At 40.7% G+C, this 19,715-nt stretch overlaps 1 protein-coding gene across 6 annotated transcripts in view; it reads left to right on the forward strand.

Moving 5' to 3' along the window:
- The window catches only part of MYO16 (myosin XVI), a 712,290-nt gene that overhangs the window by 387,674 nt on the left and 304,901 nt on the right, over positions 1 to 19,715 (forward strand). For 5 of the 6 annotated variants that reach the window (XM_011521062.2, XM_047430183.1, NM_015011.3 and 2 more), the window contains exons 14-15: positions 4,983 to 5,088; positions 14,627 to 14,744. In XM_011521062.2, the coding sequence (XP_011519364.1) occupies positions 4,983 to 5,088; positions 14,627 to 14,744 (224 nt within the window). Of the gene's footprint in view, positions 1 to 2,672; positions 3,074 to 4,982; positions 5,089 to 14,626; positions 14,745 to 19,715 lie in introns of those variants that run through there. The other variant, XM_047430184.1, reaches the window with a different exon arrangement.

A 19,715-nucleotide genomic window follows, 5' to 3' on the forward strand; every position in this document is an offset into this window, starting at 1 on the left:
TATTAATAAACTTAACCTGAAACTCATTTCCTTTTGAAGATTTAAAGCTTAGATAAAAAGTTTTTGCTTTTGAACCTAAGAAAACATGGAGAAAGAAAAACTACCAATATTACGGAACCTAAGCCACTGTTCTTCAAAATCCAGGGCTGCCCCAAATATCATTTTATTTCTTTCCAAAGGTATGTTTTCTCAGCCTGTTTCTTGTTATTTACCTTTGCTCACAATTCACTGTACTCTACTTCCTAAACTTTTTTTTTTTTTTTGAGACAGGGTCTTGCTCTGTCACCCAGGCTGGAATTTAGTGGCATGATCACCAGTCACTGCAGCCAAGGCTCAAGTGATCCTCCCACCTCAGCCTCCCAAGTAGCTGGGACTACAGGCACATGCCACCACACTTGGCTAATTTTTTAATTTTTGTAGAGATGAGATCTCACTATATTGCCCAGGCTGGTCTCAAACTCCTGGGCTCAAGCGATCCTCTTGTCACAGCCTCTCAAAGTGCTGGGATTACAGACATGGGCCACTGCATTTGGCCCAGAATATTTTTTGAATTTGAAATGTAATGCTAGATTTAACTCACCAATTAATAGAAAATTAAAGAAACATTTAAATGTTAAAATCTGCATCAGAGACCTATATTTTATATTCAGCCAAACCTCTACAAGGGAGGGAAAGCTCTATAAATACTCACTCACGGTAGCGCCTTAGTTGTTGTCAGTAGTGCTGGTTGGAACTCAACGGATAAGTACAGTAGCACACAACTCGAGTCAAAGTGAAATGAAAATGGTATAAAGTTAGAACCTGGATAGAATTCAAAAGGCTTATTTAAATATTAAAATGAGAGCTTATATGTTTATATGCATTTCATCAAAAATTCTATGGAGGGTGGAGGGACAGACTGATGGGCGCACACTTTAGTTTTCTAGTTTTCAAAGCAGCATGCTAGCGGTTGTTTTCGTGCTGGGTTCAGATGCATCCCAAGGATGAGGAAGGTGCTGAGGCAGGGGCTTCGACACATTCTAAACTCTAGGATAAGAAAGGCACTGAGGCATGGGATTCCACCCATTCTAGACTCAAAAATGAGAAAGGCGCTGAGGCAGGGAATTCCACCCATTGTAGACTCAAGGATGAGAAAAGCACTGAGGCAGGGGCTTCTGCCCATTCTAGGCTCAAGGATGAGAAAGACGCCGAGACAGGGGCTCTCACCCATTCTAGACACAAGGATGAGAAGGGCGTCAAGGTGGGGGCTCCAACCCATTCTAGACACAAGGATGAGAAAGGCACCGAGGCAGGGGCTTCCACCCATTCTAAACTCAATGATGAGAAAGGCTCTGAGACACGGGCTCTCACCCATTCTAGACACAAGGATGAGAAAGGCACTGAGGCGGGGGCTCCAACCCATTCTAAACTCAAGGATGAGAAAGGCGCTGAGACAGGGGCTCTCACCCATTCTAGACATGAGGATGAGAAAGGCTCTGAGACAGGGGCTCTCATCCATTCTAGACACAAGGATGAGAAAGGCACTGAGACAGGGGCTCTCACCCATTCTAGACACGAGGGTGATAAAGATGCTGAGACAGGGGCTCTCATCCATTCTAAACTCAAAGGAAGAGAAAGACGCTGAGACGGGCTCTCACCAATTCTAGACACGAGGATGAGAAAGGCACTGAGGTGGGGGCTCCAACCCATTCTAGACTCAAGGATGAGAAAGGCACCAAGGCAGGGGCTTCCACCCATTCTTTCTTTTGATACGGAGTTTCGTTCTTGTTGCCCAGGCTGGAGTGCAATGGCACAATCTCAGCTCACCGCTACCTCTGCCTCCTGGGTTCAAGTGATTCTCCTGCTTCAGCCTCCTGAGTAGCTGGAATTACAGGCATGTGCCACCACGCCCGGCTAATTTTGTATTTTTAGTAGAGTCGGGGGTGTCACCACGTTGGTCAGGCTGGTCTCGAACTCCTGAGCTCAGGTGATCCACCTGCCTCGGCCTGCCAAAGTGCTGGGATTACAGGTGTGAGCTACTGTACCTGGCCACTCATTCTGGACTCAAGGATGAGAAAGGCGCAGAGATGGGGGCTTCCACCCGTTCTAGACTCAGGCAACCCTATTTTTATCTGCTTTGTCTGTCCAGTTTCCTGGTCTTCCTTTGATAAATAGGGAAAACTTTTTAAAAGTTGCTTAGAAAAAACACTGTCAATTGGTGAGACAGGGAGAGTTTAACACTGTTGACAATAACAACTAATGTTTATTGAGAATTTACTGGCTGCCAGACCCTTGACTAGATTATTTCTATGTATTATTTATTTCTTTAGAATTTACATAACTTTTGAGTGCTCCCACTTAATTCTAGGATGATCATTGCAGCTGTTATAGGTCAGTTTTTGAAAGCGTGGGTCCTGAGCAAGGCTCTAAGGGGAGAAAAGGAGGAGCAGCAGGCCCATGCGCTTTGGGAGTCCGCCCGGGAGATGGCACACAGCGGCCAGCAAGTTTTCTTATGAAGAACCCCGTTTATCTTAGTTTAACCCAACAGTTTTGACAGGTATTTGCTCATGGAACTTTTTATCCAGTATATATTCTGCAGAACTAGTTTTGCTTTGGGTCTTTTTTTTTTTGATATGGAGTCTTGAGTCTCGCTCTGTCGCCCAGGCTGGAGTGCAGTGGCGCGATCTGGGCTCACTGCAAGCTCCGCCTCCCGGGTTGACGTCATTCTCCTGCCTCAGCCTCCCGAATAGCTGGGACTACAGGCGCCCGCCATCACGCCCGGCTAATTTTTTGTATTTTTAGTAGAGACGAGGTTTCACCGTGTTAGCCAGGATGGTCTCGATCTCCTGACCTTGTGATCCGCCCACCACAGCCTCTCAAAGTGCTGGGATTACAGGCGTGAGCCACCGCGCCCGGCCCTCCTTTGGGTCATTTTTTAAAGTTAATGATTCCCTGTACCAACCCCTTATTTTGAAAAAATACCTCTTCATTCAAGTTTCAAGAAGGTGTTGATGCAGGATTTTGCTCCTTAGCTCGGCTACGTCCAGGTTCTTGCCTCACGACCTGGAAAAATGAGGCGTGCGGACACGAGAGAGTAAGTGGAGTAGAATTTATTATGCGAAAGGGAAGCTCTCAGCAGAGAGGGGTCCTGAAGCAGGGTGCCTGGTGCCCCCTTCTCAGTTGAATACCACCAGAGCTTAGGGCGCAAACTGCTGGCGGCTCCACCCCCCGTCCTTCCAGTGCGCATGCTGAGGCCGAGCTGCTCCATATTGATTGATTTCCCTTGCTGCACGTGTGCTAAGGAACGGACTCTTCCACCGCAGGCTTGTTTAGGCAAAGCCCCCTGTGCAAGTTCCCTTATCGGCACAAAACATCTGACGTAAGCACTCGTGGGGCGGGTCGGAGCTTCTCGGGGGACCCTTCCCTGACTGTCTGCCTGAAGCAAGCTGGAGAACTCCTTTCGGTATCGCTAGTCCTGATATACAGAATGGAAGAGCAAATCTCTGGTTACTAGGACTTACTGTTTTAGTGATTCTCTTTCTTCTTTCAAAATTGTGTGTGCTTTCATACAGCTTTGCCACATCCTTGATTGTGTGGGCTAAGATACATGCTTTCTCCATTTTTACGAATATGATAAAATTAGCCATTTGAAATTCAACTTAATAAGTTGTTAACGGATCATTATTGAGTGTCAGTTGTGTCCCAGAACGAGCACTTACAAAGGGTAATTTAAGATTTAGCAATCAAAACGCAAGTAGTCCTGGAATGGATGTCCCAAAACTCAGTACCAGACCAGAAAAAATTTCATTTTGTTTTCTAATATTAACTTAATACCTCATTTGTTGATACTCTTAGGCCCCAGTAGTTCAAAAGTCTGCACAAGTGAGTGGAAGCATCCATTAACGACTCGACACTTTAAACAAATAATTAAATTTCAACTTACTTCTTTTCTGGCAAACACTGTTAATTAACTTTGTTAAAATAGATGTTTCCAGGCAGAAAACCAAGGAAGCTCTCCTAAAAGGGCTTTAAAAAGTTTTTCTGGTTACCAAATAAGTAAAGGCTGTTTTTATGAATTTTTCATCTGGATGAAGTAATAACTTTATTGTAGATCACATCACTTTGAAATAATAATTATTTTGTGGGAATTTTATGTCAATCCTATATCATATAGTGTCAGGAATATAATATTTACCATTTTTAAAAATTGGGTGAGTTAATGAAGTATGCCTGGGATGTATTAAAAGTGATGCCCTTATAAATAAAAGTTCAGTGATCTTTCCTAGATTAAAGAAAAATGCAAACTAGAGAACATCAGAACTGAAAGCAAGCGGAAAAGGAAACCTAAGCAGGTCAGGTTTAGTAGGATCTGCGGAATGACAGATCCACATCTGAAGACCTTACTGCCTTAGTTTTTGTAGCTAGGCACTTTATGTTCATTTCAAAGAACAGAGAAGGAATGCTCAGAAAGATGTCACAGCTTTTCCACAGAAGAGGTAACGTCTCTCCTGTAAGGCCCATGAAGCATGAACAGTTTTCCCAAGGCCATGTGTGAGCCTGCATGTCTCAACACAGCATGCTGTCTCGGGATCGCCTCACTTTATGTTGACTTGCTAAGCTGAGTCAAGTTGGTTATGTCTTCTTCTCAGCCTGACACCTTTCTGGCATAATTCACCTACACTAGGTGGTTCTACCCTGTGAGATACTGAATGGCAGAACTTGTGTCATATTCATTTGTAATGCCAGCATCTGAAACACCATCAGGGACATGACACAGTCAACATATACTGGGTATTTCAGACAAATGAATCAAATTGAAGTGTGAACGGAGACCACAAACTCATTGCAAGTAGATGTGCCATTCCCTCCTCATTTCTGTGTCTGAGAAATATCTCCAGTTAATTTTTTTACTTGTTCCTTCAAAGTAGTTTCAAAGGAACAAAGGAACAAGCTTTGAAGCAAAGTTCCTTCAAACTTATGTTTTTCCTCTCTGTTTTCCTTAGTGGAGAAAGGGGATCAGGAAAGTCTGAAGCCAGCAAACAAATCATAAGACACCTCACCTGCAGGGCTGGCGCCAGCAGGGCCACACTGGATTCCAGATTCAAACATGTAAGTTTTTTGTTTGGGTTGGCAAATATGTGAATGAAGATGTTCAGCCAGTTGTCATTTACAAATAGGGGAGGGGACATCATAATAGATACAAGGGGGTTCAAAATTTGTGGAAATAAAGAATAAAAAATTATTGAGCTTGGGTTCAAATAAATACTGTTCGAGTGAACATTTATTTATTTTACATATTTAAAATATTTTGTACATACTTTCTTTTTGTATTTGCTCCGAATAGTTGGATCTAAAACACGTAATATAGGTAGATGTTGTTGTTCACAAAGAAAGTGCACTTTGAGGCTGAGCGCAGGGGCTCACGACTATAATCCCAGCACTCTGGGAGGCCGAGGCATGTGAATCACCTGAGGTCAGGAGTTCGAGATCGGCCTGGCCAACATTGTGAAACCTCGTCTCTACTAAAAATACAAAAATTAGCCAGGAGTGGTGGCTGGTGCCTGTAATCCCAGCTACTCAGGAGGCTGAGGCAGGAGAATTGCTTGAAGCCGGGAGGCAGAGGTTGCGGTGAGCTGAGATCATGCTGTTGCATTCCAGCTGGACAAGAGCAAAACTCTGTCTCAAAAAAAAAAAGAAAAGAAAAAGAAAGTGCACTTTGGTGTGTTAGGACATTTTGGGGAGCTGGCCAGAAAAGAAATTATTGTGAGGGATCACTGGGGCCTGATAATAAATCTTTGGTGTATCTGAAAGAATTGGCAATAGTTATCCTTAAAGACTTCGATGGGCAGGCCATGCACCTTTGGGGCCAAAACAGATTTTAAACTATTTGGAAACATTTGCAGTGTTAACTGTCCCGCTAATTCATCATTCTAAAATATGACCGTGATTCAAGGAGGAAGCAAAAAGACCTGTTAGCAGCTAAGATAAAGCTAAAAACATCCCACATAATCAAACTCAGAAATTTTACTCAAGGAGGCCACCACAGGTGCTTATCCATAGACTGATTCTGTTGTTTATACATAGTTCTAGCAAGTTTTGTTAAAAGGTTTGTTCAGACCATAGCAGATCAGAAGAAGACATTGAAAGGCCACTGGAAGGAATGGCTAACAGTGGGGGGAACAGACAGGACAGGAACCAATAACCAATCCAAAAGAATGGAAATCAACAGTCTGCTCTCTAGGGGCCTCTACCTAGAGATGGAACCCTCTCCATTTCTATATTTCTTTTGGAAATCACTCCAGATGCCTGGAAGTTCATGATGATTTTCCTAAGGTTGAAATAAAATATTATTTTAGAGGATACTCCACCCTTGCTTATGCTGATGATCATGACTCAGTGCCATGGGTACACCAGCAGCTCTGGATCCTAATCTCCATACTGCCTCTCATTCTTAAGATGCAGACCTGCCTGTCCAACGAATTTCCTGGACATGCCACAGTGTACTGCAAACACGTGGCCAAAATTGAAGTCTTTCTTTTTTATTTTCACTTATTTATTTACTATTATTGTTATTTATTTTTGAGACAGGGTCTTGCTCTGTCACACAGGCTGGAGTACAGTGATACGATCACCATTCACCGCAGCCTCAACTTCCTGGGCTCAAGTGATCCTCCCACCTCATCCTTCCAAGTAGCTGGGACCACAGGCATGTGTCTCTGCCTAGCTAATTTTTGTATTTTTTTTTTTTTTTTTTTTTGTGGAGACTGGGTCTCCTGTGTTTCCCAAGCTGGTCTCGAACTCCTGGGCTCAAGTGATCCACCTGCCTCAGCCTCCCAAAGTGCTAGGATTACAGGCGTGAACCACTGCATCGTACTAAGTTTCTCTATTTCCAACACATTCTGAATATCCTATTACTCCTAGCTCTTTAGTCTGTCCAGTTTCCTTCAGGTCCACAGTCATTGCTGCTGTGGAGTCATCTTCTCACATGGCATTATCTTTGAGACTGTTCTAAGTTGCTCTCTTTCTTTTTCCATCCTTGGCCATCCTCCAGTGCATGTCCCTGTGGCAGGCCGTGGTTGATAGCTCTGCTCCCCAGGGTCAGGTAGGGCCCAGGCCCTGTCGCTCCCCAGACACTTTCTCACCTGCTCAGAGGAAGGGAGCAGCAAACCCCAGTCCAGGCAGAAGGCTCATCATATGCAGAGGGGCTACCTGTCTTCTCATCACAGTTATGGGCTTGAACTTAGTCATGCTGCTATCTAGTTCGGACTCATTGATAACTAGGCAGCCATGTATTCAACTTCAACTAGTAAATGGAAGAAGAGGAGAGTTGATGCTGGTGAACTGCCATCAGCCTGTATCACCAGAGACTCCTTTGCTCAAAGCCCTTGAGTGAGTCTCTGTTCCCTTTACATCAAGTCCAATAAATCAGCATGGCCTGGCATTCTTTCTGGCAATGTTACATTTGTTGTGGTTTTTATTTTCTTCTCTGATCTTAGAACACTATATCCCCTTCCTCTTACTCTCTGCTGAAGCCACCTTTGAGCATGTATCTCTCTCAGCCTGGCCCGTGCAGTCTCATTCATTTGCTTTCTCACTCCACAAGCATCTATTAACAAAGGGCTACCCAGTGCCTGTCCCTGGAATTCAGAGCTGCTGTCCCAACAGCATGGTAGGAGCTCAGTTTCTATGTGGGGAATAAATGAATATACTAAAATAAGTATCGTGACCGTATAGGAGAAACATTTCATTACCCCCAGTTTCCTAAGTTAAGTTCCTTAGTTAACTTTACATTATCAAATACATTTAATGTGGACAACCCATTTGTATGTCATCAGGAGGCTGTACATTTGGCCTGTGTGTGTTTCCTTATATGTGATTTATAGAACTAACATTGACATTTTCTTCAATTTGTCTTACCTGCCCTGCTTTTGTTAGATAGTGGGATTTTTCTACCTCTCTTCCTTTTTATACAACCTTTTGTTTTTCATTCCAGTGTAGGGAAGACACATTTGTTAAAAAATGTCTTATCTCGCAGGTCAAGAGACCACTAAATGCATATATGGAAAATCGTGTTCAATTCCACATATACACTAACAGAACATAAGATTTTCTATAGATAAATCAATATTCTATGTGTAACATTCAAGAAATAATGTACATATGTGCTATATCATTGCCTTGACAAAAAATAATGCATGTACACATCATAGGCCATGTTACAATAGTATAAAACTTTCTATTGGCACTGATTTCAAAGTGCGATATTGCTGCAGTGTGAAATTTCCACGGAGGTGCCTCTGATGCTGACATGTGTCTGGCCGTACACACATTTACAGAAAGATGCCTGCATTTCAGTCATAATTTTATATTTAAAAGTGTCTGATTATATTCATGCAAGACAGCTGCACTTATATCGTTTCCTAAATCAATGCCATCTAAAGGTTCAAAAGTTAAAAATACGGAAATATACTGCACAATGAATATTGTGCTATTTGTGTTTGTTTCTGTGGCACCTGCTTTTTTATCTGGCTGCTACAGTTTAGAGTGATTTCTACCATGGTGGCGGTTAGTTGGCATGTTCTTTAAATTTATAGTATCTGATTCCTTATTTAGAAATGAGAATAACTGATTTTTAATTAATAAATTAGTATTATTTTGCATATTTTATACTTGTGAATTATAAGTAATTTTAAAATTTATTCTTCTCTAATAGATCCCCAAGCTTATGTCTGATTCTGTAGACTTTTCTCTTTAAAAAGAATGCATAATTAGTTTTTTGAATATCTGTGGTATCATGTGTGTTCATTAATGACTTTAATTTATAACCATTTATTAAGCTCATACCATATTGAGCACCTGCATAATTCTACAACAAGCTCAAAATAATTTTTTTTTTGAAATGGAGTCTTGCTCTGTCACCCAGGCTGGAGTATAGTGGCACAATCTTTGCTCACTCCATTTCCCAGGTTCAAGCAATTCTCCTGCCTCAGCCTCCCAAGCAGCTGGGATTACAGGCGTGTGCCACCACACCTGCCTAATTTTTGTAGTTTTTAGTAGAGATGGGGTTGCACCATGTTGGCCAGGCTGGTCTTGAACTCCTGACCTCAAGTGATCTACCCACCTCAGCCTCCCAAAGTGCTGGGATTACGGACATGAGCCACTGCACCTGGCCGGTCAAAATAATTTAATATTGAGAGTCAATTTGGGAGAATAGCATAACCTATCTTCTTTGTTCAAATATGTTAATATCCTGACAACTGACACTTAAGAGTTAGAGTACGTGTAAAACAACATGGTTATAAAATAGCCTCAAGTTAACTAACGGAAATAACAGAAACTGATGACTTACTCATAATGAAAAGGAACAATAGTTTCCCCTCTAAATTATATACAATCATCTATTAAAATGATCATCTGGGAGACAGCAGGCTGTATAATTTCTGTAATGCATTCTCTATTACCTTATGTAAATTGGCTTTAAATTTTAGTTCAAACAAATACATTCTAAAGTGCATTCCTTTGGATCAGGTAGATATAACCCTCCCAAATCAGTTAGCATCTGGGAGTCCAGATTATAATATCAGTGCATATTTCAAGTAAAACTAATTCTAGTTAACTTGTGTGTTTTATTCACTCCTCATGACACATAAAAGATTCATAAATAAATGACTTCTAGTCTCATGAAAAAATATTGCCCAGGTTTGAGCATGGCTTAAATTCCATGTCAGCTGTGGTTTTATTGTTTCCCTTTAGATCATTATCCACATGAATATCATTCAGTGTCCAAGATGTTCATGAAAATCATCAGTCATTATATCTGTAAATCATCCGAGTATATGTACAGGAATTAAATACAAGCATTGAATACATTTTTTAATTTACCATAAATCTTTATAAAATTAGAGGGTTTAGTGAAATTAAGTATATTTAAGAGATGAACCAGTACAATAAATCTTCACAATGTCATTGATGGGTTCTTGGAAACTGTGACTTTAAGCAAAACTATTTCCTGTCTGCTGTAAGAATTTAACTCTTGTTTATATTAATTAGTCTGTGATAAAATTGGTTGCATTAGAAGGTACGTTGTTTTGCTTAAAGTAGAAATTTCCAAGAACCTATTGATGATACTAAGTGAGCACTTCCTATACTTCCTGAAAGGAAAATCTGATTAAGGAAATGAGTAGAAAAGAACATCCTTGAACAGCCTTGATTTATGGAGCTATCTAGTAGAAAGTTTGAGGGTCAGGATAAGATGAAAGGAAAGTTCACTAGGTGGCCCTAAGAGGAGAGGACAATGTGCTGATTAGAGACACGGTTTAGCCATATTTGGTTGTGAGACTGCATTCTGGAATATCACACAGGCCATCATGGGGAGTGCTGGCAGGCGGGATCAGGTGTGTAGCAAGCACACAAACTGTACATTCCACTGAGAGAGCCTGGTTCATTCTAAAGGAGACAATTTTGCCTCAAATCCTAGGAAAATACTCATTGGGGGTCATTTGGATCAGCAGTTGCCAAATAATGTGTAGTAAAAGAATGATAGAGAAAGAAAAGTCAGTGTACTAGTCTGTTCTCATACTGCCATAAAGATACCACCTGAGACTAGGAAATTTATTTTTTAAAAAAAGGAGGTTTAATTGACTCACAGTTCTGCATGGCTGGGGAAGCCTCAGGAAATTTACAGTCATGGCAGGAGGTGAAGAAGAAAGAAGCAAGGCACATCTTACATGATGGCAGGAGAGAGAGCATGCGCAGGGGAAACTGCCAGTTTTAAACCATAGATCTCATGCGAATGCCTTCACGATCATGAGAGCAGCATGGGGAAAACTGCCCCCATGACTCAATCACCCCCCACCGGGTCTCTCCTTTGACATGTGGGGATTACAATTCGACTCGAGATTTGGGTGGGGAAACAGAGCCAAACCATATCAGTGAGGATGTATTGGGGTGGTCTTCATTGTAGTATTGTGCAGACACTGAGGAGTAGAGAAACTCTTCCTGTGGTTGATAATAATGGCATCATTGTTAAAATTAAAGATTGCCATCTCAGTGGAGTATGGGAAGCCAGAGAACCCAAAATGAAAGGGTTTGGGTGGAAACTAGAAGTTCACACTGTCACAACACACAGTACTCTCCCTGAAGGAGGTTTTGGGAGAAGAGAGAGAAGGAGGAAGATTCAGTTGGTAACATCTAGTAAGTGAGAGAGTGCAGCATTGAGGTCCAGAAATGACTTTTGGTGATTATATGCAGGTCAAACACTTATTCTTACGAGAAGTGACTGAAATCTTTCTGTCAGTCTTACACCTCATTTGGCCCATCTTAAAAGCCTGCATGAGCTCACCTGCCTTTGTCCTGGGCTTCAAGTGCACTTTACCCACTGGGTAGATGGACGGATGGAACCCGATCACCACAGACATGGCTTTGTTCCCCCACAAAGTTTCAGAGCAGCTAAGAGCAGTTAGGAAGGGCTGTTTTGTTTCTAACCCCTGCATTTGAATTTCAAACATTGGAAGCAGGGCATTTTCCATGACATTAAATTTATTGGAACAGAAAAGTCATGTTTCAGGAAGAAACTACCTGGAACCTTCACCAACTCTGGTCCAAATGAATTTCAACTTTAAGAATATTCAATTCCATTGAAATCACTTAAATAAGCATTCACTATGCAATAGCTTTCAGAGAGCAGACTGATGGGTTGATATCGATTGAGTTAATATTTTTTATAGAGGATGCCACAAGTCTTTACTTTCAGAAAATACAGTAGATTAACTCCTACCATAATAGTCCATGACTTATATAGGGACATAAATTTATAGAAAAAATACCATACATTATAAATACAAAAAAAAAGTCAATAAAATTTGAATAAGTAAATATTGAGGAAAATATATATATTTAATTTTCTTCATTTATATTTTTATTTAAATTTTGTTACTGTGCAACGTTGTCATTGTTGTTTTTGAAATCAAGGTGAGCAGCGGAATAATGCCAGTTTTGTTTAGCTCAGTATTTCTCTTAATACATTTATTTAGTGCCACCTATCGGCCAAGTGGCTAATTAAAGATAAAAAACTGGTTATTGCATAGTTTATTTAGCATTTTAATCTTGACTCATGGATGACAACGTACAGTGAAAGAATGCCATGGGGTATTTACATTTTGTTAAGTAGTTGTAGTTTTATATTCGTTTCATGCCTTCTATGTCTTTATTGGTATTTCAGCAGTAATTACTGCATAGTGCAGTGGTTAAGTGTGTGATTCTGAAAGCCAACTCACCTGGGTTCAACTCCCAGCTTCATTGTTGACAACCTTTGAGCCTTGGGAAAACTAATTGGTCTATGTCCTTTTTTCTGTAAAGCAGTGTAAAATATACACTGGTTCCGAGAGTTAACAGAGAACACACATGCACAGACACATCACCCGTTAGAACACTGCCTGGTACATAGTGAGCAGGACGGGAACATTGTCTATTGCTATTCACAAAAGTAAAATTCACTGTTGTTATTTGCTGAATGTTTTCTCTGTGCCAGACGTAAAGCTGAGTGCTTTACACAGCGGACACTGACAAACACTGAAGGAGTTATTCCAGCGTGAGAATTAAGGAAAATGAGGTTTGAGGAATTCAGAGGACCTCCTCAGCGTTACATAATTTCTCATTAGCAGTGTTGGGGTGTGGGGGTAGCTCCTTCTCACTCCCAGGCACATGCATTTAACCATTTCCCTATATTGACTGTTAGGGGAACAAGTTATTAATTACCTGTAATGTCCTTTTTCCAAGAATAATCAAAACATTACTTATCAGACACAACACCAGAATAACTAGAAGCAAAATATTTTTAAAGATTATCCTATTTTTATGACTTTAAAAATAATTGTTTAATGTAATATTATTAATATTTAAAATGTGCTATCATTACCCTCTTATTTTCACCGTATGTATATAACTACATATTTCATATTAGATTATAGGAAAAGATACAAAAACGAAGAGTTACTAAGTACTATTTCATTTTTTTCCCAGAAAACATTGCTATCATCACTGCTATCAATTTACTTTTATCATCTTTAAAATTAGATTATTATATACAGACCTAAACCATAAAGTTTTTGTAAGGAATTAATATATGTTTGTCTCCAAAATTCAAACTTCAAACACAGAAGTTTTAACATACTTCACTATTATCACAACTTGTAGCATTTTTTAATTTGTGGTTAGCGTCAAACTATTTTATAATCTTTCACAGTATAAAATACTTCCAGGTTAATTCAACACCTTAATGTAGCAGATGCCAGGAAATTTAAAAGTGGGATCAAAGCAGCCGCGCGTGGTGGCTCATGCCTGTAATGCCAGCACTTTTTGGGAGGCCGAGGTGGGCGGATCACCTGAGGTCAGGAGTTTGAGACCAGCCTGGCCAACATGGCGAAACCCTGTCTCTACTACTAAAACTACAAAAATTGGCCTGGTGTAACGGCATGCCCTTGTAATCCCAGCTACTCCAGAGGCTGAGGCAGGAGAATTGCTTGAATCCAGGAGGCAGAGGTTGCAGTAAGCCGAGATCACACCACTGCAGTGAGCCGAGATCACATCACTGCACTCCAGCCTGGATGACAGAGTGAGACTCTGTCTCAAAAAATAAAATAAAAAGTAAATTTTTTAAAAAAAGTGGGATCAAAGCACTTAAAAAAAAGTAGGATAGTGTTCTCAAAAAAACACTATTAGAAACACTAGGGAACAGGAAAACTAGTCCGTGTATCAATAAGGTGTTATTGTACTCCCTCCTGTGGCTGATGCAGAAACCGCATGGAACATAACTATCATGCAAGAGATACCCTTGAACCCTCCAGATTTTCATACATTTTGGAGAATTGCTTGGTCCCCATCACCTTCACAGGCAGAGTCAATTGATGAAGAAGCAGTGGCTTTTATTCTACTGTGAATGCTTAAGGAAACATGTCAAGGAAGAATTTCAGCCCCCAGGGTTGGCCTGAGGAGCTTTATCATAGCGTTGCAAAGCCACAAACTTGCCAGTCTGCAACAAAGCACAGGGCAGCGAGAGAAGGCGGCATGGCAGCTCAGCTGGGAGTTTCACCGCTGCCCTGTGGAAGAGAATAGTTGGTGTGAGGCAAAAGCACGGTACAGGGAGGATAAATGGGGGTCAGGGTTGAAAAAGAGTATGAGTGGAAAGTAAATAAGGATTCAAAGGAATGTTCTATGCCAATGTTTAAATAAATGTATTATTGTAAAATGAATTCTGACTTTTGCCTATATTAATTCAGATGACTCCTTCCCTTCCAAAATGCAAACGCTATTTTACTGTTCTATTCAGGTTTGAAATCTTGATAACATTTGTTAAGCTTGGGGCTGTGTGTGTAGAGAATGGCTTTCCTTCTTTTATGTGCAGGAGAGTGCAGTGTCGTCAAGCAATCTGTCTATTATTGCTTCATGAACAGTAGCCACAATTTGAGACATAGGATGCTAGTGGCTTGCCTTTGAGGAAAAAGGGGTCTTAAAAATTCAATATAGCATTCTATGAGCAGGATAGAAACTTTCAGACCAAGAAGTATTATTCACTGCATCGTCGCTATTACTCATCAATTTTATTTCTTAAAATATGAGCAGTTCAGTAAAATGTTCTCCTCTCCCACAGGTCGTGTGCATCTTAGAAGCCTTTGGACATGCCAAGACCACACTTAATGATTTGTCCAGTTGCTTCATCAAGTATTTTGAACTGCAGTTCTGTGAGAGGAAACAACAGCTAACCGGAGGTAAGTGCAGTATTTGACAACGTGGATTTCCTGTGCCGAGCCAGCATGCGACCACGTCACACACAGGCACGCTATGGACACACTGTGTATGAATCAATGCTGGGAGAGAAAACCTATTCTTCATGACCGTGTCTGGAAACAGCTTAAGATACTTCTGGAAAGTTTGTATTACATTAGAACAAGGATCAATACTCAGGCACTCAGTTGAGGGTGTGTGAGTGTGTGTGTGTGTGTGTGTGTGTGTGTGTGTGTGTGTATACATACCTAGGATGTCAGGTGATAAGTGCTGAAGTTATTGTGAATTAAAAAATATTCTCAAATGCAAGCTGAACCTTTTCAAAATGATTATTGTATGGGCTATATAATGAGAAACCAAACCCAGACCAAACGTAGCTGAATTATCCTTGCTGAACATAGAAACAAACTCAAATACTTTAATTAAATAAATAATACCTTAGTATTATATATAATTTCTTCACATAATACACATTGAAATCTATTTGAAATAAAACTGAATCCATATAGTTAAATGACTGAATTAAATCTAAACATCAAAATAATTGCCAAACTAAACCCAAGCAGACACTGTTTCGTATTTGATTTAAATACTTAAAGTATATTTTATAAAAACTCCTTATTTAAAATTCAACTAATTTAGAATTCACCTAGAATTTTACATCTTTCCAATTAAAACAGATTATTAATGCAAATTAATAATATAAATACAATTGTAGGTAGAATTTTGATATACTTGAAGTAATCAGATATTTTTAAAAAACTTTTACAACAGCTGTCAGCACATAAACATTTGCCAATTATTATAAATGATTTCTGAAAGAGTTTAATTTTACTTGGCTTTTTAAAGTTACCCTATTTTCCCTTCAGGAAAAAAAAAGTTAGTTTTGACCATAATCTAGAAACAAAAACATTGTATTTTGCAGCAAGTCTATGTCAGAATCAGTTTTCTACTAATAAAATGTGATAAATAACATGCATAAAAACAGTATGAGCCTGGTGCAGTGGCTCACGCCTGAAATCCCAGCACTTTGGGAGGCCGAGGCGGGTGGATTTCCTGAGGTCAGGAGTTTGAGACCAGCCTGACTAACATGGAGAAACCCCGTCTCTACTAAAAATACAAAATTATCCAGGTGTGGTGGCGCATGCCTGTAATCCCAGCTACTTGGGAGGCTGAGACAGGAGAATCACTTGAACCCAGGAGGCGGAGGTTGCAGTAAGCAGATATCACACCATTGCACTCCAGCCTGGGCAACGAGAGCCAAACTCCATCTCAAAAAAAAAAAAAGAAAGAAAGAAAAGATGCTTTTAGATGTTTAGATGTTGAAGTTAGAAGGTTAACTTATACAAAAGGAAAGCTATTCAATCATTTATTGGTTTTTTAAACCCATGGCTTAGAGTTCTGAAGGTCTGCCATTTTATGAAGACCTCATCGGAGAACTGTCGTGAGCCTCAAGCTCTGGTTTTCAAGTCTCAGTTTCCTAACACCTGGCTGGGTGTGCTCCTCCAAGGGAAGGGGCCGGATTTACTTCTGTAATACTGAGCACAGTTTTCCCCCTGAGCTCTCAGTGACTGGTGGGCTGTGGCGATGTTCTCTAAGTGGATAGAAGTTCTCCAAAAGTAGGAAGCTGAAACATTGAAAGCTCCGTGTTCCAGCCCCTTGCCACTCAAATGTGTGGCCCAAGGATGAGCACTGCGTCATCACTTGGGAGTTTGTTATAGATGCAGAATCTGAGGCCATACTCCAGACTGGCTGATGGAGACTGCAGTTTAACAAGATTCCAGGTGATTCATGGGACGTGAGTGTCTGAGAGCTCTGAGAGCTGAAAGCAGGCCATTCGTGTTTATGCACAACTAGTGCAAGGAGGAGAAGCTCATCTGGGGTGTCACCAGCATGACTTTTTCTTCTCAATTTCATGTTTCCTTTAGCAAGAGGGAGAGAAAATAACTGGCTTCTGAAGGTGTCATCCATTACTAACATTTTTTTTCCTCTTTTTTATTTTTCTGGATAGAGTTTAGAGGGTCCTTTTCTTTAGGAATGTTGATTTAGAAAATAATTATGTACACATATTAAAAAGAACTAGAAAACTTTGTTGTAAACACTGATTAACTGAGCCTTCTGTTAATCAACAATCTCTATGAACACTTGGTCCCTCACATCTTTAGCATAATTAGCCCCACATATACCTCTCAGGCAGCTTGTCCAGGCAGCATTGAGACCCAGAGGTGATACATATTCATAATGATGGGCCTGGAGCAGTTCAATGTTGCAGGAAGTCAGGGACCCCGAACGGAGGGACCAGCTGAAGCCATGGTGGAAGAACATAAATTGTGAAGATTTCATGGACATTTATTAGTTCCCCAAATTAATACTTTTATAATTTCTTACGCCTGTCTTTACTGCAGTCTCTGAACATAAATTGTGAAGATTTCATGGACACTTATCACTTCCCCAATCAATACCCTTGTGATTTCCTATGCCTGTCTTTACTTTAACCTCTTAATCCCTACATCTTCGAGGAGGATGTAGGTTGCCTCAGGACCCTGTGATGGTTGCGTTAACTGTACGAATTGTTTGTAGAGCATGTGTGTTTGAACAATATGAAATCTGGGCACCTTGAAAAAAGAACAGGATAACAGCAATGTTCAGGGAACAAGAGAGATAACCTTAAACTCTGACTGCCAGTGAGCCAGGTGGAGCCATATTTCTCTTCTTTCAAAAGCAAATGGGAGAAATATCGCTGAATTCTTTTTCTCAGCAAGGAACATCCCTGAGAAAGAGAATGTGTCCCTGAGGGGAGGCCTCTGAAATGGCCGCTTTGGGGATGGCTGTCTTTTACGGTTGTAGCAGAGGGATGAAATAAGCCCCGGTCTCCCACAGCACTCCCAGGCTTATTAGGACGAGGAAATTCCCGCCTAATAAATTTTGGTCAGACCGGTTGTCTGCTCTCAAACCCTGTTTCCTGATAAGATGTTATCAATGACAATGGGTGCCCAAAACTTCATTAGCAATTTTAATTTCGCCCCAGTCCTGTGGTCCTGTGATCTCGCCCTGCCTCCATTTACCTTGTGATATTTTATTACCTTGTGAAACATGTGATTTCTGTGACCCACACCCTATTTGTACACTCCCTCCCCTTTTGAAAATCACTAATAAAAACTTGCTGGTTTTACGGCTCAGGGGGCATCACAGAACCTGCTGACATGTGATGTCTCCCCCAGACACCCAGCTTTAAATTTTCTCTCTTTTGTACTCTGTCCCTTTATTTCTCAGACCGGCCGACTCTTAGGGAAATTAGAAAAGAACCTACGTGAAATATCGGGGGTGAATTTCACCTGATAGTTCAAGGCCCAGAAAAGTTCTCTGAATCATTAAGGAACTGTGACCGTAAATTCAATATAATTTCAGACTTGCGTAGGGTTTATTTTTCTCTTATGGAAATGGCAATCAGGGCATCTATGACAGGCATGCTCCACCTTTCTCCACTTTCCGTATGGCCTTTCTACTCATTTTGTTCCCCTAATTAACATCCTTAATTTAGTTCTTATCACTTGTATTTGTTTGTTTCATAGCTTCCTGCTGTGTTCTTTTAAAACTCTGGCCAAATGATTTGGTGATCGTTTTTTATGTTTTTTATTTAAGAGTAATAAACTGCTATAAAACAAAGTAACAAAGCTAGTGCTGAGATTGCATTCGTAGAAGTCTACCACCTAGATCATAAACGTGGTAGGACCCACAGTGCCCTGAAGGGGTGAGACTGGGAATCAGTTGTTTCCTGGTTTTAAGAAGAGAAATAAAAGGAATATGTTCAGAAAATGTTTATCAGGAGAGTGAAAGTTCCAATGTCATGTTTTTGGAGTAAAGTGTTGACAAAACTAAAAATATTTACACTGAAAAAGAAATAACTCAAGAGAAATAGGACAAATTTGTTCAAGTATCCCTTACCACGTGGAAAGGGTGTTGAGTACAAAGGTATATTATGCGTACTATAAAGAGCAGGTCGATGTTTCCGAGAAGGAACATCTTCACTCAGTCATCAGAAGCTGCCATGGAACATCCTCACGTCTGCCACGCACTCTCTCATGCCAACGCTGGCTGTGTCTAAGCAAGAGGAAGGGGCAGACACCAGCTGGACCAGATAATTTTACAGATGCTGCCTAGTGCTCAACATTGTTTAAGTCCAAAAATGAAAGCACTCTTTTAGCTGTGGATCTGATGTTCCCATGTCTCCCAGAGTAGCTTAATAGCATGTACTTGTCTCCTGTGCCTGTTAGCATAGACTGAACGGGGTTGATATTAGAATGTGTTAGATTATGTCAGTGTTCAAAAGCTGCAGTAGCAAATGAACACCAGTGTGGTGGCTGGAAACAACATAAATTAATTGTCTCACAGTTCTGGAGGTTAGAAGTCTGGAATTCAGGTGTCTGTAGACGCACGAGCTCTTGACCTCTCTGGGGGGACCTCCCCTGCCCATTCCTAGCTCTGATGGTTGCTGCTGATCTTTAGTGTTCCTTGGCTTGGAGATGCATTGCTCCAGTCTCTGCCTCTATTGACTCATGACCTTCTCCCTGTGCCTCTTCTCTTCTCCAAAGGACACTGGTCACATTGGATTAGGACACACCCTACTCCAGTATGACCTTATTGTAACTTGAGTACAGTAGTTTCACCCTAAACTAAGGTTTTGCTTTCTATGGTTTCAGTTACCGGAGTTCAACTGTGGTCCAAAAATTTTAAATAGAAAATTCTCAAAACAAACAGTTCATAAGTTTTCAATTGCATGTTATTCTGAGTAACGTGATGAAATCTCCTGCCCTCTGGCTCCATCCAGCCTGGAAAGTGAATCACCCCTTTGTTCAGTGTATCCACGATGTCTCCGCTACCCACCTGTTAATCACTTAGAAGCTCTCTCAGTTATCAGATGGTGCCAGTTTCCTGGCTTGTGTTCAAGTAACTCT

Source organism: Homo sapiens, chromosome 13, assembly GCF_000001405.40.
Source record: "Homo sapiens chromosome 13, GRCh38.p14 Primary Assembly".
In the NCBI taxonomy this organism is placed as follows: Eukaryota; Metazoa; Chordata; class Mammalia; order Primates; family Hominidae; genus Homo; species Homo sapiens.